This window comes from Homo sapiens, chromosome 6 (genome assembly GCF_000001405.40).
Source record: "Homo sapiens chromosome 6, GRCh38.p14 Primary Assembly".
Lineage (NCBI taxonomy): Eukaryota > Metazoa > Chordata > Mammalia > Primates > Hominidae > Homo > Homo sapiens.
In genome coordinates, this window is record NC_000006.12 from 139,414,982 (window position 1) to 139,439,538 (window position 24,557).

The following is a 24,557-nucleotide window of genomic DNA, read 5'->3' on the forward strand; positions in this document are numbered from 1 at the left end:
TGAGTATAAGAATGTTTACAGCAGCATTATTCACGATGGCCACAGTGGAAAGAACCTAAATGTCCATCAACTGAAAAAGAAATAGTAAAAATTTGGTATATCCAGTCCATGGAATATTATTTGGCCATAAAAAGGCATGAAGCACTGATACATGCTACAGTATGGATAAACTTTATTTATTTATTTATTTATTTAGAGACAGGGTCTCGCTCTGTCACTCAGGCTGGAATGCAGTGGTGCAATCCTGGCTCACTGACACCTCCCCTGCCTGGACTCAAGCTGTCTTCCCACCTCAGCCTCTTAAGTAGCTGGGACTATAGGCTTGCACCACCACACCCTGCTAATTTTTGAAGAGACGGGGTTTCACCATGTTGCCCAGGCTGATCTCTAACTCCTGGGCTCCAGTGATCCCCGAACCTTGGCCTCCCAAAATGCTGGGATTACAGGCATGAGCCACCGTGCCCAGCCTGGATAAACTTTAAGCACATTATGCTAAGTGAAAGAAGTCAGTCACAAATGACCATGTATTCTATGACTCCATTCATGTGAAAGTCCAGAACAGAACAATCTATAGAGATAGAAAGTAGGTTATTGTTTGCTTAGGGCTGGGGTGGAAACGAAGATAGGGAGGCAGGAGAGTAACAGCTAAAAGTTATGAGATTTCTCACTGAGGTGATAAAAATGTTCTAAAATTGTCTGTGGTGATAGGTGTACATATCAGTAAATGTCTTAAAAACCATTGAATAGAACACTTTAATGGATGCATTTTATGCCATGTGAATTACATCTCAATAAAGCTGTTAAGATTTTTAAAATATATGTTATCATGAACTATCATTTAATTCATAAACAGCAAGCATGATCTAAACTGAAGAAAAATATTCTTATGCAATTAATATATTAATGAATTTTTTAAAAAGTGAACTGGCTTTGGCTTTGAGGGACAATCTGAAGGGTTCATGAGAAAGGGAAATGCATGGATTTTTGACATCTATTTTCACTGTTCAGGAATCTTTTTCTTTTTGGCTATATTCTGGAGAGTTATTGCCTTGGGTAAGTAATGTCCATCTGAATGAGTTGTTTACAAGAATTTTAATTGCCTTTTAGATGACCAGTACTGAAGGGACTGAAGATGTTTCTCTCTGTCTCTCTGCATTTTTGTATATGTGTAAGTTTAACAGTTTTGGATGATGGTGGTGGTAATACTGCCATTCATAAAAGATGCTTTAATATCTGGTCTCTGTAGAGACTGGGGGATGGTGAGGTATGAGTGGAAGCTGAGAGGGCAATATTGATATGTTGGTATCCACGAGTCGTCATTGGTAGAACTACAGATAAATGATGAGTAAAACTTTCCTAAAATAGCAAGTGATTCAGCAGCTGTGTATATATATATATATATATTTTTTTCTTTTGAAAAGAAGCTTGTAAGACATTTGATACAAAGAGTGGAGAGGTAAAGATACTTATGTAAACACTGACCCATGCCAGTAACTTTCCACTTGATATAACCCTCTTGTGTGATGCCAACACTTAGCAAAATGTCTGCCTTTTATGATTTGCAGAGTTGCTGTGGAAAATGTTACCTTATGCCCTCTTTTAGAAAGAATCTACATATTTGAAGAGGAAAATATCTATATGTCACTTGAAATGTTTCAGTAAGCATTTAAATGCGTGTCTAATATATATCATTTCTTAAGGGTAAGCTGATCCTTTACAGAATACTTATACACCACTTGCAGGATTTAAAAAAAATTGCTATGCTGAGACTCTTTTTGCAGTGAAATTCAAATTTTAGCTTCTATTAATGCTATTGTTACATCAGTATTTGGTTTGTTCTTGCTCGTGCTTTATTGCTATTCATTCTTAGTTCATTTTTGTTTACCACAGTGCAAAAGGATTAGATTTCGGGAAGGAAAACACACAGGGAAAGGTACTTCTGAAGTCCCGTACCACATCAATTGCTTGAACATGGTAAATAGTAAATACAGGCTAAGAAGCACCCAAGACTCTAACAACTCGACTCCAGTCTTCTGGTGAGGTGTAAATGCTGCAGGAAGGGAATTAGTCAGTAGTTGTCCTCGCTTTCCAACCCACCCATTTTTTCCCTCACCCTCCATGCACCTGCCCACTTGTGCAATCCTTAGCTTGACTGTGAGGATGTCATTTTCTCAACAAGCACTGGGTCAATTGTAAAGCACTTTGGCATTGGGGGAGAGTATTTCTTTCAGGCCTCCATCAATGGATGCTTAATCTCTGGAAGCCTGGGGTTTAGTTCCTCCTGACTTCAGTAACCATAGCTGCCAATCTCAGCTAAACATCTGAGGAGAAGGAAAGGACAGAGAGGCAAACAGATCTTACTGCTCCTGGTGGTCAGGTCCATGGATAAATTGCCTCTTGGAGAAGAGGGAAGAGGGAAAGTGTGCAATGATTTGTGTATCTGGGAACTTACAAGATAAGGTGAACTCAATAACTTAACTGTTGGATTAACCTGGCACTTGTCTTTATTTCATTGGAGTTGATACATAATATCAATATGAAATCAATATGCAACTTTCTGGGCTTGGAAGAAGAGACAAAATATCATAAATGATTTTAGAAATAGCATCTATGAAATTTTACTTTTTGTTTGTTTTATTTTTGAGACAAAGTCACAAATTACGTCTATGAAACTTTACTTTTTGTTTCTTTTATTTCTGAGACAAAGTCACACAGGCTGATGTGCAGTGGCACGATTACGGCTCACTGCAACCTTGACCTCCCAGGCTCAAGGGATCCTCCCACTTCAGCTTCCTGAGTAGCTGGGACCACAGGCACACATCACCACGCCTGGCTATTTCTTTTACTTTTTGTAGAGATGGGTTCTTGTTATGTTGCCCAGGCTGGTCTCGAATTCTTGGCCTCAAGTGATTCTCCCACCTTGGCCTCCCAAAGTGCTGGGATTGCAGGTGTGAGCCACCACACCCATCCTGAAACTTTATAATGGGTATATTCCCTTATTTCCCATCTTAGAACAAATGAAATATGGCTACTGTAGGTTGGAAGATGGACTGGCTTTCATGAGGAAAAACAGAACTCCAACAGCTCACAGCATCTCACATCAGAAGAAAATCCAGGTTATCTTTGATGCCATTTACAGACAGTTTCTAGTCTACCTAAATCTAAGTTACAAAATTATTACTCTACATTTTTACCTTTATGGAAAACATGTATGCCCTCCTTATATTCAACTTTTCTTTGTTCAAATTATTAACTAATTGCTCACTTAAAAAAACACTTCTCATATAAAATTTTGCCTGTCCCTTCCCACTGCTCCTAATTATTTTCCTGGATGTTATCAGATGCTGCTTTCTATTTTCACCATCTTCCTTTGGTAATAAGATGACTTTAACTAAATGTAGGACAAATGGGTACAATGATCTTGTAGCAACACTGGAATATATTCTCTGTTATTCTTACTACAATTTAACAGTATATTTACTTTTCTGCTTTAAAATTCTGTTGAGCATCATGCATACATCTTCATTAAGATGTGTTCTGTGAGCCTACATCTTTTTCCTGTAAGGTTAGAACTAATTCAGAACTTACCCAAGTGGATGAGTAATTTAAGTTGCTACTTCCAATGTGCATGACTTTGCACTTGTCTGTTCTGAGCTTCATCTGCCACTGTTTTGCCCAATTACTGAGTTTGGATTCTATGTTTTTCACATCCATCTGTGTAAACTTAGGGAACCAAAATAGTTTTGTGTAGTCAGCAAATCTCAGCACCTCATTATTTAGTCCATTTTCTAGGATGTTACCACGTATCCTGGAGGACAGTGCTCTTGCATCGATCGCTGACACCCCACAATTAACTCCTTTCCATGCTGAGAGCTGGTCGTTTATTCTTTTGCTCCGCCTCTATCTCTTAACCCACTTTTAACCTATGATTGACAGCTCTTTACCTCTTGCCCAGTAGTTACCAAGTTTCCTTAATAGTCTCCTGTGTAGGACTTTATCAAAAGCCCTTTGAGAGTCTAAATAAATTACATCCAGTAGTTTTCCTTTACCCACCATTTTGTGGTCTCCACAAAATTCTGCATTAAAAATACTAAAGACACATAAAGAAAATAACAACTTCCAAATGTTCTTCTCTTCTTTTTGGATATGCTGGTTTGTCATCTGGTACTGCTTTTTTTCTCCTTTCCTTTAATATTAATTTTCTGTTTGTGTCAACCCCAGCCTGTCACTGAACCTCTGCAAACCAAGATGCATTCCCTGTCTCATATTAATGCTGCAACATAACTGATAAGATTTTGAGTGACTTTACGAGGTAAATAAATTCCACTGGTTGGCTCCTTCTGCACTGTAAGAAACATGCCTTGCTAACTCTTTCACTTATTTACCAGCTTGTCAGAAATTTCAAGAAAGCAAATTTTCCCTTTGGGAGCAAACATTCCAATATTTTGGTTTCAGGGGCATGATACCTTGTCATGACTTCTTTTTTCTGTAAAGATATTTATTTGGGCCACATACATCCTACACCAACGATGCCTCAACTTAAACAGACAAAAAAAAAAAGGAATTAAAAAAAGGAACTTTGAAAATGTGTGATAAGTAACACAACAGTCTCCTTTGTCATAATTTCCTGGTTTGATCCTGACTTTGTTTGCCAGGAGTGATCACTCTTCATATTCATGAAAGCATTGATCACGCTGGTGTGGGAACTATAAAGCAATACTGAGGGGAGTCTGAGCACTGGCATTTTCACTTACATACCTTTTGAAACTTGAAATAACCTTATGAAGTCGGTAAGTATGCATTATTATTATTATTATGTTTAATTTTTAGAAAGACAGCTTTCACTCTGTTGCCCAGGCTGGAGTGCAGTGGTGTGATCTTAGCTCACTGCAACTGCGAACTCCTTGGTTTAAGTGATTTTCTTGCCTCACCCTCTGAGTAGTTGTGACTGCAGGCGCTCATCATCATATCTGGCTAATTTTTAATTTTTTTGTAGAGATGAAGCGAGTCTCCCTATGTTGCCCAAGCTGGTCTGGAACTCCCGGCCTCAAGCTATATTCCCCTCTTGACCTCCCAAAGCTCTGGGATTGTGGGGATGAGCCACTGAGCCCGGCCAAGTCACATATTATTATTATTATTATTATTATTATTATTATTATTATTATTATTATTTAGAGTAAACGGAAACCTAAGTGATAGATCATTTGTCCAAGGTCATGGAACATTTTAACGATCTTGGATAAAATCCAAGTTTTCAGATCCTTCATCCACAACCCCTTCTCTTCTTCCACGCTGCCATTGTGAGTTTCTCTCTTTCTTTGAGGTGAACATGTAAAAGATTTAAGCCATTTTAAAAATTACTTGTAGCTCCTTATCTACTATTTCTTTCAAAGTCTTTTCAAGAAACATGCAGTTGTCAATGTGGAGGAGACTCTCGTTGCCCTCTTATATCTCATACCTGCCAAATCTTACCCTTTCAAAGTGAAGGACATTTTCATTTTCGGTTAATATTAAGACTACCTAAAAAGCATTTTGCTCTCTGAGGCAAGCTTTTCTTCAGTGTTTCAACAAACCATTTATATATTTTTTATCATTTTTTTTCCTTACAAAAAAGTCTCCCTCATTTAAATTGTCACAGCTTGGGAATCCTGCCTGGAATACATAATAACTGCTTGTAACACTTAAAATGAAAACAAATTTACCAAGGATGGTGGAATGACAACAAAGAACAAGAAAAATATAAGTACATGGAAAATAGTCTCTCCTACGCATACATTTTCAGTGTTAAGTATTTTTTATTGAAATTGCTGTTTCCTATTCTCCTGCTTAGCTCCTCTTCATCCGGATTTTTTTTTTTTTTGGTGGGGGGGTTAGGGGGGAGTTTAAAATCAAAACATCTAAAGAGAGAGAAGAATGAACCATTATAATTGTTATTTGATTTCTTGGGTTCAGAAAGTAACATTTGATGAAGTAATACTGAGTCTTAGCAGAACACTGATGGATAGGTAGGTAGAGCAAGGTTTCGTTCTCAACCTTGGCACTATTGACAGTTGGAGTGGGATACTTTTTGGTAGAGTGGTAGGCTGTGATTTTTCACAGTATCTCTGGCATCTAGGCACTAGATGGGGGTAGCACCACCTTCCCCAGTTGTGACAACCAAAGGATCTTCAGACATTTCCCAAGGTCTCCAGGCTTAGAACCATAGACTTAGAGGCAAGACTCTTAGGACTGTACTTGTAGATGCTGGTGGGGGCTTTGACAGTCAGCCCACTCCCACTCATGGGCTATCTGTCCCCATCCAGGGAACGTCTCAAGTCCTAGAAAGAAATTCACCTCCAAGAAGGCCTGCTTGCTTACCTAGCCTTAGCTTATGCTCTGTGTCCAGTGATTCTGAAAGATCCATTTACTCTCTTTTGCCTGAACTAGCTGGAGTTGACAAAAATACTTTGAGAGCTTCCCTATCGGTAGGGAGGAGCTCCTGACATTTCCTGAGAATTCCATGCTCCTCTCTTGTCTTATCCTACTGCTCTCCCTTTCCACCCGGTGCAAGCTCTACACTAAAAAAAAGAACCCCACTGGGAACCAGCTGACCTCGCTGACCTTGGACAAGTCAGTCTCTGCTCTGGACTTTTGTTTTCTTATCCAACTGTGAAATAGTTGGACTAGACGGTACACCTTCAATTCTACTTAATTCAGTTCTAGAGCAGAAAGGAGCTTAGAATATTATGACCTGAATGTTCTTGCTTTTCTTGGCTTCTTTAATCTGCCAATTTAGACTTTAGGGGCAACCCTCTACTCCCCACAAGGGCACCAATCTATAACTTGTTTTTTGCCAAAATATTGTTTAGGGTTGATCTGCTTGATTTCACCTGTACTTACTCCCGCTCACTCACCACCCCAAAGCCTAACTTTGTTAACCCATAAATAAGAATAAACTCAGCCACATCTCTTGAAAAAGACAACTCATTTGTCATAATGATTACATCAGGAAGTTGTGAGTTCAATCACACCTTAAAAGACTACACAGTGCATTGAGATTAAGCAGCAAAATGTGTGAATGAAACCATATTTCAAATACATTGTGGGAATAGGTTATTTTAAGTAACCTGCTGGGAAAGCCTTTTGGAAAAAAAGATGAGTACTCTAAAAAAATATAAATCAAGTAACTATTACTGGATTTATCTGGCTGTATCATTTCAAAAATTACAAAAATCTGATTCATTCCTACAAAGGCATGCAACTTTTGCTGCTACTCTTACCGTGTTGCTACTATTGACTCTTGTCAAGGTCATGCCTGACTTTCACCAGACACACCTAGTGCTGCCAGGACAGGTGTCGTCAAGGTGGTGAAGGCTTCTCTGCCTCCGACTTGCTAGTTGTGTGACCTTAGCAAGTCAATTTCCCTCTCTGAGCTTTAGTTTTCTTTTTTCTAAAATGAGGAAGTTAAATTGTATTTCTAAGTTTACTCTAAAATTCTAAGAACTAAATAAGAAACATTGGTTAATGACAGGGCTGGCTTGAGAACACAGACTTCAGCAAGGCTGGGGAGCTGGATCCCAGCAGAACTGTCTCCCCTGGGTAAGCAAACCCTGGGCTCTTCCTCCTACCCCAAAGGGAGGGGTGGGCTGGAGCTTCCTCCCTTCCACCAAAGAGTCTAGAGGGTTTCACACCACAACCTGCTCCCTGCCCCTAGCTCCAGACCTTTTGATAATAGGCAGTGTTTCTAGGAAAATGGATGGAACTCTGCTAAGGGAAACGCCAACAACAGGCCCAGGGGAAGAGAGAGGAAGACCCCATGGAGGATTCAGATGTTCTTCTGGGTGGAAGAGCCAAAAGCGAATGTACCAGCGTGTTGTTAGCACACACACACCCAGCGTGGGAAGAGGAGCAGCTGAGGTGACCAGGAGGTGACGGATGCTCTCACTCTTCATCACAAAATATTCAGAGAACACCATTCCAGCTCCTTGAGATCTACGGTGTCCAGAGCAACCCCAGATTCCTCCATCATTATAAATCCCTGACTAAAAGAAAGCAGCCAGAAGATTTTCCCCTGTGAAATGGCCCAAAGTCATCCCATCAGTCTTTCTCAAAGGTGCACTGGGCGCCTTTCATCATTATCACATTATAAATGAATTTGTTAAGAAATATGTGCTTGCTGACTACAATGTGCCAGTCACTGTGCTGGATGCTTGGGATGTAGCAATGAATAAACAAACCTATCAAGATTCCTGCCCTCAGGGAGGGTACAGTCTGGCAGGGGAGACAGACACACAATAAAGATAATAAATTAAATGGCATGTTAGAAGGTGATGGAACTAAGGAAAGAAAAGAAAGGAAAAGCCATCATTTACTTCATCATTCGCGTTTTAGTTTTTCTTTAGCTCCAACATTTAGAATACCCCCAAATATTTTCTTCATATTATAATTTCTTATTCTTTAGTTTTTTTCGTTGCTAGCGTGACTACAGTATTGCTTGAGACTAATTTCATTCTATATGAATACACTTTATGCATTGCGTAATGTGGAAGTGCCTTGGCTCTGTTCAGTGAAACATTTTCTAAATTTTCCTTTCAATACTACCACAACTTGGGCAGAAAGAGCATTTTACAGACAAAAAGCCCAAGGTTCATGGAGTCTTTGAAAAGCTGAGTGTCTTGAATTTTTTTTTTTTCTCAGTATTCTTTTTCAGACTTAAGTGGGAAATATTTTTGTTTTGCTTCAATTTTTTTCAAAACAATTATTTAGAGCAAACCTGGCTATTTGTTGGCAACTTCATTTTTTTTTTTTTTTTTTTTTTCTGAGAGGGAGTCTCACTCTGTCACCCAGGCTAGAGTGCAATGGCACGATCTCGGCTCACTGCAATCTCTGCCTCCCGGGTTCAAGCAATTCTCCTGCTTCAGCCTCCTGAGTAGCTGGGATTACAGGTACGCACCACCAGGCCTGGCTAATTTTGTATTTTTAGTAGAGATGGGGTTTCACCATGTTGGCCAGGTTATTCTTGAAATGGCTGGTCTCGAACTCCTGATCTTGCAATCCACCCGCCTCGGCCTCCCAACGTGCTAGGATTACAGGCGTGAGCCACTGTGCCCAGCTGGCAACTTCTAATATAGTGATTAAGTAGGTTCACACCTGATGGCATATTTCCAGTTCCGGGAAAGTGGTGGTTAAAAAGAAATCTGCTTACATTGTGTGCTCGATTATCACCACTGTGGTTCCTGATACCAGGTTATCCTTACAGGCCACCTGTGATTTCTTTAGAGAGCTGGCAACCTGCCCTGCTCATCATGGTGGGGGGACATTTTTCTCCACAGCATAAAATTGGTGAAGTGCAAGATCTGTTTTGGTTTCTCCCTAGACCCTAATGATACTGGCAGATACCAGCCTGCCTTCTGGGATTTAACGTCAATTGCATCTTCTGGAAATGGGTTGCATCGTTTGATATAATCTAGTTAAGCCTTCTTCAGAGGGCAAATGGGACACATAGAGACACGCACACACACATAGACACACCCGCATGTGATTCCTAAAGTGCCTGGGGAATTTGTCTGTGTACATTCAGGGTATATAATTTGACAGGCTATAAAGGTGAAAGTTTTATCTCTGAATTTCTTTGGTCCCCTATTCCTGCCGCCAGACAATTTCCTCCTAACATTGCAATCTGTGACAAAACTTTTGTCCCTAGATTGGCTTTCTATGAAAGCTCTTGGTGCCTTTTAATCAGTTGCTAGGTGGTCTGTATCCATGGTCCAATTTCAGTATTAGTACAATCAGAACACATTAGGGAAGGTAACTTTACTTCTGTTGTAGCAAAAATATTCTTATGTAATGCATTCTAACATCACATGTAAATGATTTTTTTCTGTACCCTATCCAAAATAATCTAGAATCCTGCTCTTACCAGTGATGTGAACAACTGAGGAACTTCTAGCTTAGTGTCTTTCCACACTCTTCTCTTTTTTAGAGTATGCTTTTTAGAGTATGTTGTAATTCAGTACTAATATTGAATTACAACAGGTTAAAATTAGGCAGTGTGGTCCCTTAAAGGGAAGGTGGGCTTTCAAATAAGGAATCTTGGGTGCAAAACCTGATATAATATTTTATTAATTGTGTGACTTTAGCCTATTTAGCTTACTCTCTGAAACTTAGTTTCTTTTTCTTTTTCTGTAAAATGGGAGGAAAAGTTACACCTTACAAATCTTTTTAGGGATATAAAAGGGGTAATGGAGAAAGTGGTTGAAATTTAGATAGAATATACTCAGGATATGTCAGTTTCCATCTTTCCTCCCCCCCCTTCTACATTCTCCCCCTTCGTTTGGTGATGATGCTTTCTTGGGAATGAAATTTTTATGTGACTGGTTTATTTCTCCATTAGAACAATCTCACACAGTCTGCCATGTGTCCTGGAGGTGTTGGCTCCCCATGTGTGTTATGGTGGAAAATGTATTCTCTTTCCCACTGTGTTGATTCCAAGACACACTCATTTAAACCTGTGGCTAAAAATGACAGTCTGCCTTGTGGGCTGATCTCTTTCAGTATTGTGGTGTGACTGTTTTGCCCTTTAAAATCTGTTGGTTTGGGAATTAGGAGGTCAGGTATGTTCATCTAATTTGAAAATGTGCTGGAGAAATAACTGATACTCTTCTGATTTAGTCTCTCAATAAATCTTCCTTCAGCTTGAAACTCTGGTGCCAGAACTTTCTTTGCCATCAGCACCACAGGCGTGAGTTTCTGACAAGTAACCCATCCTATAGTCAACTGCTTCTCTCTTAATTCAATGCCTGGGAAAAGCACAATGATTTCAGTACTGAGAAAATAAAGCTACAGTTTGGAGGACTAGAGGGCACTTTGAGAGGGCACAATGGTGCCACCAAGATGCTACCTCTTTCCTCTGAATCAGGTGAAAAGGATAGTATTTGATATCTCTAGACAAGAGCTTCTCCAGGTGACAAGTACAAATTACTCTCCTGTTTTTGTAATCTGACCGGTCAGCACCTGGTCCCAAACAACGGCTCTGGAAATAGAGAACATTCCAAAACCACATCTCACACTCCACATGTTGCCTTCCTTCTGAAATAAAGAATGACTCTGCAAAGAAAATAAAACAGAGGTGAGGAAAGCTTACAAATAATTAGGGAAAGGAAGGTGGGAGTCAGATTCAACATGCTGTGCTATCAAAAACACAGTAGAGACAGCTCCATTAACTTTGTGTGAATAACTAGATGAAATATACTCATAGGACTTAAATCACAAGCAAAGTGGAAATTGCCCAAAGATGTAAATAATTTCCTGATAGAGCCTTTCATAAATAATCATGGTCTGTCTCTGCTGGGTATTTCATGTCTAAATTGTCATCAACATAGTTTTGATTTTACCAACAAGACATGGGATTGTTTCTTATAATATAAAAGAAAGCTTAAGTACTTAATAGCATCCCTTTAGAATTATTTTTAACTCCTATTTGCATCCAGAATAGGCAGAGGAAACCCAGTAAACCAAACAAAAACCAAACAGGAACAATGTTGTAGATAATTTCAAGGGACTTGTGCCCCTGCAATGGTAATAATGACCCTTTTGTATTGAAGGCTAGCCTTCAATGTGCCAAGAACACATGGGTGATAAAACCTCTAAGCTAAAAGTTGATCTGGTCTGGTAGGGCCCCACAAAGCAGGGGTGAGGGAACCCCCTATAGTACTGCTGTGGAGAGTAAATGTGTACTCAGGAATAAGTACTTGCTGGATACAGCGAAGAGCCAATCGTTGATTTGCATGTGTGATCACTTTTTCAAATAGCAGAAAAGAAACAAAAAGCATATGCAAAGATACTCTTTTCAGTTCTCTCCCTGATTCTAATTCATCATTGATACACAGGGCAGAGTTGCTTTTCAATTTGAAAGCAGACCTGAAATGTTCGAAAGAACCAAGGAGTCAAGTCCAATGTCCCTGGACGTTCAAAACCTCCCCATCGCCGACCCCGATTGGCAGAGAAGCTGCCACACCCATGCAGAGCCCGGTTCCTCCCCACACCCTGTCCTGGCCTCTCTGAGCTGCCTCTGTCCTTGCTGCTCCTCTCAGAATCCCGCTGTCTTTCCAAGACCCAGATAGGGTGCCCTCTCTTCTCTTCTGGGAAACCTTATCCCCCTCCCCTGAAGACTGGAGTTATCTGTCCTGCTGCCCTTCACTTTTATTCAACGTTTGGCACGTCCCATACTAAGACGTGTGTTTTAGTTACCTGCCAGCCTTCCCAACCAGGTACAAACTCTTCAAGGGCCAGGTCTTGGCTTATTCATCTTTGTAAGAGAGTGCTGCAGGCACTAGAAGAGTTTTTCAGCCCAGGGGAGGCAAGGTAAATGTTGGCTGATACACCTTTTCCTCTCTATTTAGAGTCTGTGATTCACAGTTTGAAAAGTGGAGTGAGTCCTTTAATGTTTAAATCCCTTGCTATCCTTGAGTTCTTGCTGAGGTATCATATTGTGTCCTGGTCTTAGATTCCACAAAGTGTTTATGCTTCTGCCAAGAGCTTAGGCTCTGGAAGCTTGAGCCATATTTTGTCTTTCATTTCAAATCCTATCCATCAGATTATATTTTCCACATTGGCTTTTCCCTTACAGCCAAAACTAATTCTAAGTGTGTTCATATTCAGTGCTCACTTTGTAAGAAGGGCCTCCTTTGTGCAGGAGGCCCTGGGCTGGAGTCTGCCAGAGGATTCCAGATTTGTCACCACTCAGGACTGGGCTTTTGGTTGGTGCCTAGCGAGGGTGGTTGCTCCTGCCAGCCAAGGACCCTGCTGGAGAACTTGCCAGGGGAAGTATTTGCTCTTCTTAGGATTTTTGCAAATGGATTTTTTATGTAGTTCAGGGTGGATCAGTAATTTTCCACAGTCAGAATTTCTCCACCAGGTGGGCAGTTTCCCTTAGGTTGGTAGAGTGCCCCCTGATAAGATTCAGGGGCAAATAAATTACTTGCCCATTCAGGATGTTTGGCTATCAGCCACAGAAGAGGAGGGGCCCCAGGGTGCAGCAGAAGACCCAAGAGAGCCAAAGAACCCAAACAGATAGGTGAAACAGAGTTCCAACCAAGAAGTTACCTACTGAACACTCAGGGACCCATGGTTGCTACACATACTAATGCTCTAATTCATAATATGAAGGACTGAGGGTTCATTGAAAACATACTTGTTTTTAATACTGAAGTTAGGGTGATCTTTTTTTTTTTTTTTTTTTTTGGGACAGACTTTTGCTCTGTTGCCCAAGCTGGAGTGCAGTGGCACGATCTTGGCTCACTGCAACCTCTGCCTCCTAGGTTCAAGCAATTCTCATGCCTCAGCCTCCCGAGTAGCTGGGACTACAGGCATCCACCACCAGGTCTGGCTAATTTTTGTATTAGTTTTAGTAGGGATGGGGTTTCACCATGTTGGCCAGGCTGGTCTCGAACCCCTGACCTCAAGTGATCTGCCCACCTCGACCTCCCAATGTTAGGGTGATCTTGCTGGTGTACTTCCAACAAGGCAATAAACCTTAAGGAAGACAACATATGTACTCACATACACACTACATACACAACTATGGTTCATAGTCATTGAGCTCTTTTGAGGTGGGATGCTTTATGCTTTATATTCCATAGCTCCTTCAGTTTCCACAGCCCTAAGAGATAGACATAATTATCACCGCTTTATCAATAAACAAAATGAGGCTTTAGGATGTTACATATTTTAACCTGTGTATCTTTTTTTTTTTTTTTTTTTGAGACAAGGTCTCACTCTGTCACCTAGGCTGGAGTGCAATGGCATGATCACAGCTCACTGCAACGACCTCCCGGGCTCAAGCAGTCCCTCCACTTCAGCCTCCTGAGTAGTTGGGACCACACGTGCACACCACCACACCCAGCTAATTGTTTGTTGTTGTTGTTGTTGTTTTGTATTTTTTGTAGAGATAGAGTTTCGTTATGTTGCCCAACCTAGTCTTGAACTCCTGAGCTCCAGCGATCCTCCCACTTCAGCCTCTCAAAGTGCTGGGATTGCAGGCGTGAGCCACCGCCCCAGCCTGTATATCAATATTTTACCTGATGACTTCTCCAAATGTTCTTTTTCCTTTGTTTTTCCAGAGCTGGAAGAAACGAAGAACCTCAACAATTTTTATTTCTACTTTTGATCAAGGAAAAGCGTATTTAGAAGGTTCGCTAGAGAAAAATTTAGCAGTTTGGAGGATTGAGATCCTTTGGCAGAGATATGGGAGTGTGAGCAGGAAATATTTTTTTAAAGGAAGAGCTGGTGTTTTAGGATGTCAAAGGTACAAATTATGATGGTGCCATGGTTGACAGAAATTTGCAAGATCTCCGTATCTACATGAACTCTTTGCTCCTGACTATTAGCTGACTGGTCCAGAAATTCTTGATCCAAGCTTGATATGTAAGCTTCTCTCTCCTGTGAATATGGCACTGAGAGACACAAGATTAGAAGCCCTGGGTGCTGATCAAACTCATAGCAAGGAAGAGTGGTGGCTCAAGACTGCCTGCTCCTGAGACTTCTGAGAAGGGTGTCTCTCTGTCTGTGTGGATGCCTGATGCTTCTGGTATTTCACAAATCTTGAGCCTGGCCAGGAGTTTACTAACAGGCACCCCTGTGTCATCTGAACAAGGTATGTTCAGCTCTCTGTTTTAATCCCTCTTCTGCCTTGAACCTCCCCGTCCGCAGGAAGAGGCAGAAATCCATTCTGTCTTTGTGTGTTGCAGGGTGAGCACAGAGGCCCAGAAGAGTCTCCTCGGCTTGTTCATGTTACTATGATAGCGCTTAGCAACTGCTAGCTCCCCCTTCCCTATCTGTTGTTGCTGCCAGGCCTGAGGCTGAAAGGGTGAGAGGATGAAGTGAGGCTGAAAGCAATGGTAGCTGCTGCTAACAAAACTTGCAGGGTGGGGATGTTCTCTTCATGGCTCCCTGTTGGGTAAGAAAGGAAAAAGAGGAAGGCCGGTATACTGCAGAGGGACAGAGTGTGTACACAAGGAGTGTGGTGGTGGGGGGTAGGTGCGCATGCCCTAAAGACTAAAAAGCTCCTCTCAGCCTTGGAGAGATTGCATAACCACCTGAGAAACAAAAATAGATGATTAGCAGAAACACCTTGTAAAAATATCTGCTCATTAAAAGTAGGTGTCTGAAATGTAAATGCTCGGAAAAATCTGCAAGTCTAGAAGATAAACTTTCTGAGTTTATTATCCTTTACAATGCACCATAGAGCTGGGAGGAGATTCAGGAATAAATTTGCAATGGCTGGAAAAAAGGTGTCTGGAAATGACCTCCTAGTAAATTAGATATGATGATTTCACAAGACAATGTAAGAAAAATTGAGAGAAACAACAGCAGTATTGAACACCTAGCTATTCAGGAGGCCGAGTCAGGAGGATTGCTTGAGCCCAAGAAGTCAAGGCTGCAGTGAGCCGAGATTGTGCCACTGTACTGCAGCCTGGGCGACAGAGTGAGACTCTGTCTCAAAAAAAAAAAAAAAAAAGATAAAAAGAAAAAGAAAAAGATCCCCCCTGCCACCCACAAAAACAGTTCAGAATACCTTTGTTGATGTAATCAAGGGCAATAAATAACATAGATTTCGAAGTGATCAATTGCGGCAAGCCAAACTGGTGGATTTAAGGAGACTTACAAGACTAACAATTGAGTCTGGCCAAACAGATGTTAAATATTCAGAATTTAGGAAAGCACTTTGGGTCAGCTCTCAAAACATTTTACTTGCAAAATGAGTTCAGATTCATTTGGATATGAGCATGCTGGAAATTAGACAGCCAGCATGGGCTTTGGTGAGATCCAGGGTGCCCAGCAGAAAGGGAGATAGGAGGAGGAGGACAAGGCTCTCCACAAGGAATACTTCTTAGATTTATATTTATTCAATAATTATAAGGAGCTGATTCAATTTTCCTAAACTGTGAAGGCATAAAATAAAACAGAAACAAATATATGCCAAGAAAAAGAAATAAGCAGATTGGATTCTGTTTTTTCAAAAAGCAATCTGAATCTGTATATTTTCCATGTTGAAGGGAATCATGGGTTGCAGTGAGGCAATCCTAGTCCTCCTCTTAAGGAAATCATGGGATGCAGTGAGGCAATCGTAGTCCTCCACTCATCCCATGAGCATATGCTCCCTGCCTCCTGGAGGCCAGGCGCCATTCTAATGCTGGGCACAGGCTGAGTAAACACAGCCTCTGCCCCGGGCTGCTACTTGGTGCTGAGGAACCTCAGTGGAGTGGCTTGGAGGGACAGTGAAGCTCTCCAGAATAAGCTGGGCCTGAGTTGAGTCTTAGGTTATAATAATAATAACTGCTTATGTTGTATCGTATTTTGTATTTTAGAAAGCACCTTTATGTATTTCTTATTTGGTCCTTGTCACAGCTATGTGGGGCAGTGCAGACAGTGCCAATCCTTTTGAGTCTACTTCACATAACCTCTTTACTGTGTTTGACATGACTGGCCATGCCCTTATTGTTGACATTCTCTCCTGGTGTCTGTGAGACTTTGAACCAATAGTTTCTTACTGCTATGGTCTGAATGTTTGTGTCTGCCCCCATCCCTCTGGATCCCCTCACTCATATGTTGAAGTCCTCACCCCCAAAATGATGGTGTGAGGAGGCAAGGCCTTTGGGAGATGATTAGGTCATGAGGCCAGAGCCCTCATAAATGAGGTTAGTGCCCTTATAAGAGAGGCTCTAGAGAGATTTCTTACCCCTTCTGCCATGTGAGGTTAGAGGGAGAAGACAGCTGTCAATGAGGAAGTGGGTCCTCACCACCAGATGTGGAATCTGCCTTGATCTTGGACTTCCCAGCCTCTAGAACTGTGAGAAATACATTGCTGTTGTTTATAAGGTATCCAGTTTATGGCATTTTGCTATAGTGGCCCAGACAGGCTAGGCATTTACTGTCTTCTTGGATGCTCCTTGGGATCTATTGCCACTCTTTTCCTTTATCCTACCCCTTAAATATCAGTGTCCCTAAGGAGACTATCTCCTGTTCTCTATCACTGGTGTTAATGTACTCCACTGATGGCTGACAAACCCAATAATTGGAATGGCTTGCAGTTAGGGGATGGGAGGAATGGCACTGGAGGATGTCAAAGGGTTGGTAGATGTAGTTGGAAATAGTTTCCCAGGTAAATCTGACAGCCCTCATTCCTTTCTGTTTTGGGAACCACCTACCTATAGATGCCAATGGTTACATTCCTAGCCGATCTCTTCATTGAACTCTGGATCTACTACCTAATCTTCTACAGGAACTTTAGGCCTGGCTGTTTTACTAGAGCCTCAATCAAATGTCCCAAACAAAACCCACTAGTTCCTGCTCCCCCTACCATGGCCAGGATCACGGCTGCATCTTCCACTTCTCCTTCTCCCCTCACATCCTTACCCATGGCTTATAATCCACCTCAAAACCTTCAATTATACTTTAAAAAGTCTCTAGAATATGCCTAATCCTCTCTGGCCCCACTACCACTGCATCAGTCTCTGGACTTGTCTTCGTGGTTGTAAGCTCTCCATGCACGTACTCTATACTGCCATTGGGATAACAGTTGTAAAATAAAAACCTGCCTGCATTACTCATTGCCAATGGCCAGACAGAAAGGATGCTGTGTGCAGTTCTTTGGTACTAGTGTTACTTACCAGCCTCATCTTCTGCCATTCCCACTCTGCCTTTTCCTTGATGTCTGTGCTTCATTCTGTACTTCTTTCCTCAATGCCCCATGCTGTCCCTCGTCTGCCTGCAAAGCCCCACTCTGCTTGGCTAACTCTTCCTATACCTGCACCTTTACATTTGTTATGTCCATCTGGCAAGATTTCCCTGACCCCTTCTAGCTAGGCAGAGTGAGTTTTCTTCTCTTTATTTGCTACCATAATTCCTTGGGTGTTGCAGCTATTTTATACCCCCTACTAGAGTATAAAAGCTTTTTTTTTTTTTTTTTTTTTTTTTTTTTGACAGAGTCTCACCTGGTCGCCAGGCTGGAGTGCAGTGGCACAATCTTGGCTCACTGCAACCTCTGCCTCCCGGGTTCATGCCATTCTCCTGCCTCAGCCTACCGAGTAGCTGGGATTACGGCGTGTGCCACCACTCCCAGCTACTTTTTGCATTTTTAGTAGAGATAGGGTTTCACAATGTTGGCCAGGATTGGTCTTGATCTCTTGACCTCATGATCCACCCGCCTTGACCTCCCAAAGTACTGGGGTTACAGGAGTGAGCCACTGCGCCTGGCCACCTTTTTTTTTTTTTTAAATAAAGAAAAGACAATTGTTAATACATCATTTTACACTTAGAGCCCAAACTGAGCAGACGTTCAGTTAGTGTCTGTTAGATAAATACATGTTGCATAATGAATTATTTCTCATATGAAGAAATAAAGGTTAATTCACATGTCTAAGAGGGACAGAGTGAGTCCTCTAATCTAGGGTTATTCCTAATAAATTATTTATCTGTGATTAGAGAGACTCTGTACATATACATGAATTGGGGTTAAACCTTAATGTGAGATACTATTTGATAGGCTTTTCTAGTTTTCTTTTAAAATTTTGCTACAGAATGATAGCATTCTCAAAGACAGCAAGGGAATAAAGAGCAAATGTGACTGCTTAGAAATGGGGAGCCCACTGCTAACTCTCTGTGTGCTTCTCTTACAGCACTTAGCTCCTCCCAGGCCAGGCTCCCTCTCCATAATATATGTGGGTAGATTAGATGATGTTTAAAGGTCTAACTCTGTAATTCTATTATGCTGCATGTGTCACAGTGCCCTTTAAGCTACTTCCTCCTTAAAAGGCTCAGTGAGCAACCAGTGAAATATACCAGGAAGTATGATGTATCCTGAAGCTTGACACAAAAATCTCTTGGCACAAGTATCCTGGACAACATGCAACTGATGGGCACACCTGGCCGGTCTCAGCTCCAGATGTTTTCCTTAATCCCTGGCCTTTCATCAGGAATGTGGATTTCTACTGCCATTTAATCCCTATCTAAACATACACCCACCTGAACGGTGTGGAGGACTGGATAGTAGATGGAATCAGTTCAAAGTGTAGATGGTGGCATGGTGTTTTTCACAGACAGCCTATCCTGGGGGTCTGTACTAGATATTTTCTCCCTATACCTATGTACAGGAAATTCTCCAGCCCATGAGGAAAGGACCCTATGCTGGTCTAGTACAGGGGCATGTTCAGTTCCCTAGAGGAGTCCCCTATCTTCTCTGCCACCAGCTGCTGCTGATTGGATTAGGGGTGGTGTCTGTCAGCACAGCCAGACTATGAACTGGTTCAAAACCTGTGGCCTGACCTCATGCAAAAGACATCAGCTGCAACCAGACTCTTGAATTGAGAAATACTGAGAGAATGGGACCATTAACTCCATTAATTCCAGAGGAGGAAATGGTAGCTGTGAAGATGCAAGAGAGAAACTCAGGTAAAGTTAGAACCATGAAGTGTCATGGTAACCTGAAGTTATGAAGAAGCAGAAACTGGAATTTTTAAGAATTCAGAGGTTGCACTTCCACGTGGGAGTCCCCGAGGTGTGAACCATACAATCTGGAGTAAAGAATAAATCAGTTAGATAGAAGAGAACTGAGTGGATGAGCAGAGACAGATCACAGGGGTCCCACCACATAACCCTGCTGCTGCTGGCAGAGAATTGTCTCTGGACCTGCACAATCTTCTTGTCCAATTTCATGCTCAGAAAGGTCTGGCCCTACCACAGTGCTTGTTCTTATTTCTGTGAGGTTCTCTCTCCAGTGTGTATTCTTACAACCACCACTCCTCCCTCATTTCTTGCAGTAACTGGAAGAACCTAACACAGACACCTGTAGGGCAGGACTCCTTATTTTCTGACTCCCTGGCTCTGACCACAGGTAGGACATTCAGGTGTCTAAGTATCTGGGTTGCTCTTTCTCCACATTCATGTAACATTTTCATTTGCAGAGCAATGTCTTTAGATAGTCAGCAATCAAATCCCTACACCTTAATACTTAAGGAAATATTTAAATAGGAGTGCCATAATTTAGGGCTTATGGATACCAAGGAAATGCTGGATGGTTTTTAAGGGGTTCTAGAAACCCTTATAACTGTATGCAGTGAAAATGTGTGTGTACGTGTGGGGGGGGTTGCATTTTCCTCGTGAGAGGTCCTGTAACTTTAACCAGCTTCTCAGAGAACTCTGTAACCCTTCATCCCCCTTAAACTGAAGATCACTAGTCTGTGTGGCACGAGCTCAAACTCTAGAATCAGACCTGTGACTGATATCCCAGTTGTACCACTTACCAGCTGGGTAGCCTTGTATATTTACTTTACCTCTCTACAGCATATGTTATTTATGTATGAAATGGGTCTAATACTTATAGTACTCAGTACTCACACACAGAAGTTTTATAAGGATTAAGGGAGGTAACCCACATAATGTGTTTAGCACAGCACCTGGCATATAGCAAGTTCTTACTGATGGTAGATATTACATTTTTGTTATAGTTAATAAATGTAAATGTGACCAATTCATCATTGTCATGTGTTTTCAAATTCTGAATATTTATGTTTTATTGTAGAGGGTGTATTTTTTGTCAGAAAATTATAAGACTAGAGGGAAAGACTAGTAACCAAATATAATTTTTCAAAAGCATAAATTTTATTCTCTAACAAGGCACATCAGAAAATACCATGAAAATTTCCTCATATTTTATAAAATTTATGAATATATAAAATACTGATGAGCTAAATGGATCTATTTTGTATTGATGAACATGATTTTATGTATTATCATAATAATAAAAATTAGATGAATTTAAAAGTCAATTGCTTGGAGGTTAGCAAAATATTGAAATGACTGAAGTTGAAGATTTATTACCACTTAACATACACTTATTTAATACCAAATATTTCACTGTGGAGGAATAGCTGAGAAACCAAATGTATTGACTAGAGTTTATATGAATGTTTCAATATAGCTGCTCTTACTTGATTATGTATTTTAAAATTTTGTTATTATTTTTTATTTATAAAATAGAGACAGGGTCTCATGTTGCCCATGCTGGTCTCGAACTCCCTGGCTCAAACGATCCTCCCGCCTCTGCCTTCCAAAGTGCTGAGATTACAGGAGTGAGCCACTGTGCCTGGCCAATTATATATTTTTAATGCCTAGTAAAAATCCATTATAAGGTACATTTTTGGCATTACCAATTAACTTGGGTGGGAAAATGTGTGATCCACAGCAGGGCAAGATTTCTATTTTAAAATAAAAGCAGATACAGTCAAATGAACCTTACTGGAACGAATAGGAATGATATTATTATGATATTCTGCATCCACATGGCAAGAGATGACACCATTTTCTGAATTTACTTCAGATAAATATCCCGCAGTGGAATCAGCCTTCCCAGGGACCTCCCTGGACTCTGAGAAGTGATTAAAGGGACTGTGCGGCAGTCATGGGGATGCAAGCAGCTGTGGCCATCAAACTGGTTCTAACAGGTCAGTCCTGATGAGAACTCCATGGTGGGGAAAATAAATCCTCTAAATTCCTGATGGGAGGCCTTTGACTTTTAATGTGACAAGTGATTAGTCAGGTGTATGTGAATAATCATTATACAGGAAACAACAACAGCAAAACAAAACCCAACCCAACTCACCAATGCAAAAAATGTCATGTTTTCAAAGTAATGATGTCCAGCCTGCCTTTTGCAAAGGGAAGAAGCACAGGAGCGGGTTTTACCAAGACAACACTGTGTTCTTATTCCACCAAGTGGAAGAAATAAAAGTAAGGAATTTTCTGGCCCACATCCAATCACTCAACCTCTGTTGACTGGGTCCAGATCTGCAGATGCCTCAGGCCACAGAGGTATTTGGCTGGACTCCACGTCTGTGTAGAAGGACAAAAGTCTTGCTATTTGCAGATTGTGTGGGTAGCAGGAGTCATGACGATGATGATGATGATGACGATCATGATCATGCTTTTAGTTGAGTGTTCTCTGACATTTTGATAGCTATTTGCACATAATTTTTAATCTAAGGATCCCAGGTAGATCTGCTAGTGGGGCTTCCAGGGGCTGTCTTGTCTCTGAGAGAATGTCCTTGGTGTCAGTTGCCTCCACCTGCCCTGGGCCATGCCCAGGCTGAAGGCCAGCAGCCAGCATTTTGCTTAGGTGTGAGGCTGTTGCATAGCAACTTTCTGTTCAAATATGCTAAAAATGGATTCTTATCCTTTTTCCAATCTTCTGTAAGACAGTCCCCATGTAGGACGCTATATTAGCACAGTGCCCAGCCTGCCCGAGTAGCTGGATAGGTACTCTGTAAATGCTTGGCTGCTGCTTCTTGTCGATGAATACATGAATGACTTCTTCATGCAAAGAGCAGCTTGCTACTTTTATCTTTCTCTCTGTCTCTCTCCTTTTTTTTGGAGGGCAACAGAGAGGATTAGGAATTTGGAAAACTCCTTAGTACATTACTGGTAGTTGCTTTTAATTCAATAGAAGACATGATCATTAGTATAATTTCAAATAGTTCCCAACTCCAATCCTTCATTTCTTCTTGTTTCTGTAAGGATCTCCTATTTAGTTGACTTCTCCATTCCTACATTTAGACATGAGAATGAGACCCTTAAGCAAGTCTTCTGGAAATTCCAGAACCTTGAGATTTGGTGCCAAGCCTAGGATTAAATTGAATTTAGAATGATTATAGCTGTTGTTTCTACAAACTCATTCCGGGGAGAGAAATGGAGACATCTATTGTGTACCTTTGTACTGGGTCATCTTAGTTAAACTCCATTTCTCGTAATCCCTTTCATTGTGGCTCCAGGTTACATTTAGGCACAAAAAAGATTTGAACAAGATCTGGAAGGAGAAAGTGAAGCAGCAGCCATATTTCACCCACTGAAGGTGGATGTAGAACTGCAGGTGCAGTGGCAGATTATGCAAACTGATGACGGTCATGAGTTCACATTGTGGACCACCCAGGCCACAGCTCCTCCAGCAACCACGGATCTTCCTTTGGCTTCTCTGAATCTCTAGCCTGATATATGCACAGCTCCATGGTAAAGTGTGTTGGCTTTACCATGCAGATTTCCTTGTCACTGATGCTGAAGCGGATGAAAGACAGACGTGAATTCCAATTTGTCCTCATGGGTTCCAGTTTATTCTCTCTCTTTCTCCTTTTTTTTTTTTTTTTTCCTGATAAGGAGTCTCGCTCTGTCGCCCATGCTGGAGTGCAGTGATGCGATTCCGGCTCACTGCAACCTCTGCCTCCCGGGTTCAAGTGATTCTCGTGCCTCAGCCTCCTGAGTAGCTGGGATTACAGGTGCATGCCACCAGGCCCAGCTACTTTTTGTATTTTTAGTAGAGATGGGGTTTCACCATGTTGGCCAGGCTGGTCTCGAACTCCTGATCTCAAGTGATCCACCCGCTTCGGCCTCCCAAAGTGCTGGGATTACAGGCGTGAGCCACCGTGCTTGGCCCAGTTTATTCTCTTACGCTCTGGTTTGTCCTTGCGCTCCTGCACTGACGACCAGCTTTCCTTCTTGACTGTTGGCTCAGGTCCACAGCCACTCCATGCCCATGCCAGTCACAGAAGCCACAGCCTCATGTAGACTTTTCCACTAGCTCCCATACTAGTGTTAAGACTTGAATCCCTATTTTACATCACTCACGGTAGTTCTGCTTATCTCATTGAACCTTGATTCACACACCCATTCTTACCCTAAATGAATACCAGCATCCCTTTTAAAACGGTGGCCCTGGTGTTCAGATGTTGTTTATCCTCTCTTGGGGACCACCAACCCTAGTGGGGGAAGGCATGAAGATCCTTCTCTGTATTTTATCCGGTATGTTAGCTGAACTTGTAAACTTGAACTTGTTTCATGTAACTCAAGTATACTATCCACAGGAGAGAAGTAGTGAAGGTTTATAGGGGAAAAAAATAGACAATCCATTGCCATCGAAAAGCCCGATCGGGAGGGAAAGTATACACACAGGTGCAAATATTAAAGGACTGATTAAACACCTGAAGGCATAGGAGAGATGAGAAAAAGATGAGGGGAGGGTGGAGTAAACAAAGGTAAACACAAGTTAAGAGTACCATAAATGTTTGTTGAATGAGTGCATGAGAGGTGTTTTGACATTTTTATAAAAAACAAATATAACAAGAATATAATATTATTTTTTAATCTCCTACTTTCGTAATACACCAATAAAACTATTTTCATTTTCAGCTGTTATTCTTCATCTCTGTATACATTTGTCAAATACTTAGAATTGCAGTGCAACAGCTTTTTGTAGTTTCTTTACTTTTCCCCACTTATTTTTTGACATATATATTTTTTTCCGTTGACCTGGGAAGCTATGATGACTTTTAAGGAGATTTTAAACCTCTGTTCAAAAAGGTTTTATGTTTTCCACTTCAACTCCTGCTCTGAATGTTTAGTTCTGAGAGGGATCTGAGCTGTTTTGGAAATCAGTCTGACAAACGATTGCGAAGGCAGTGTGTAGCCAAGGTGAGTCGTAAAAAGTAAGAGCTGTTGCTAAGGGAACCGCTAGAGAAACGGTGAGGGTATAAACT

At 41.3% G+C, this 24,557-nt stretch overlaps 1 long non-coding RNA gene across 1 annotated transcript in view; it reads left to right on the forward strand.

Annotated features, from left to right (window-relative positions):
• The first annotated feature begins 4,685 nt into the window (after nucleotides 1-4,685).
• LOC107986651 (uncharacterized) overlaps nucleotides 4,686-24,557 on the forward strand; it is a 38,036-nt gene continuing 18,164 nt past the window's right edge. The window contains exons 1-4 of the long non-coding RNA XR_001744382.1: nucleotides 4,686-4,790; nucleotides 14,100-14,632; nucleotides 19,797-19,870; nucleotides 21,356-21,479. This is a non-coding gene — a long non-coding RNA (uncharacterized LOC107986651). The remainder of the gene's footprint in view (nucleotides 4,791-14,099; nucleotides 14,633-19,796; nucleotides 19,871-21,355; nucleotides 21,480-24,557) is intronic.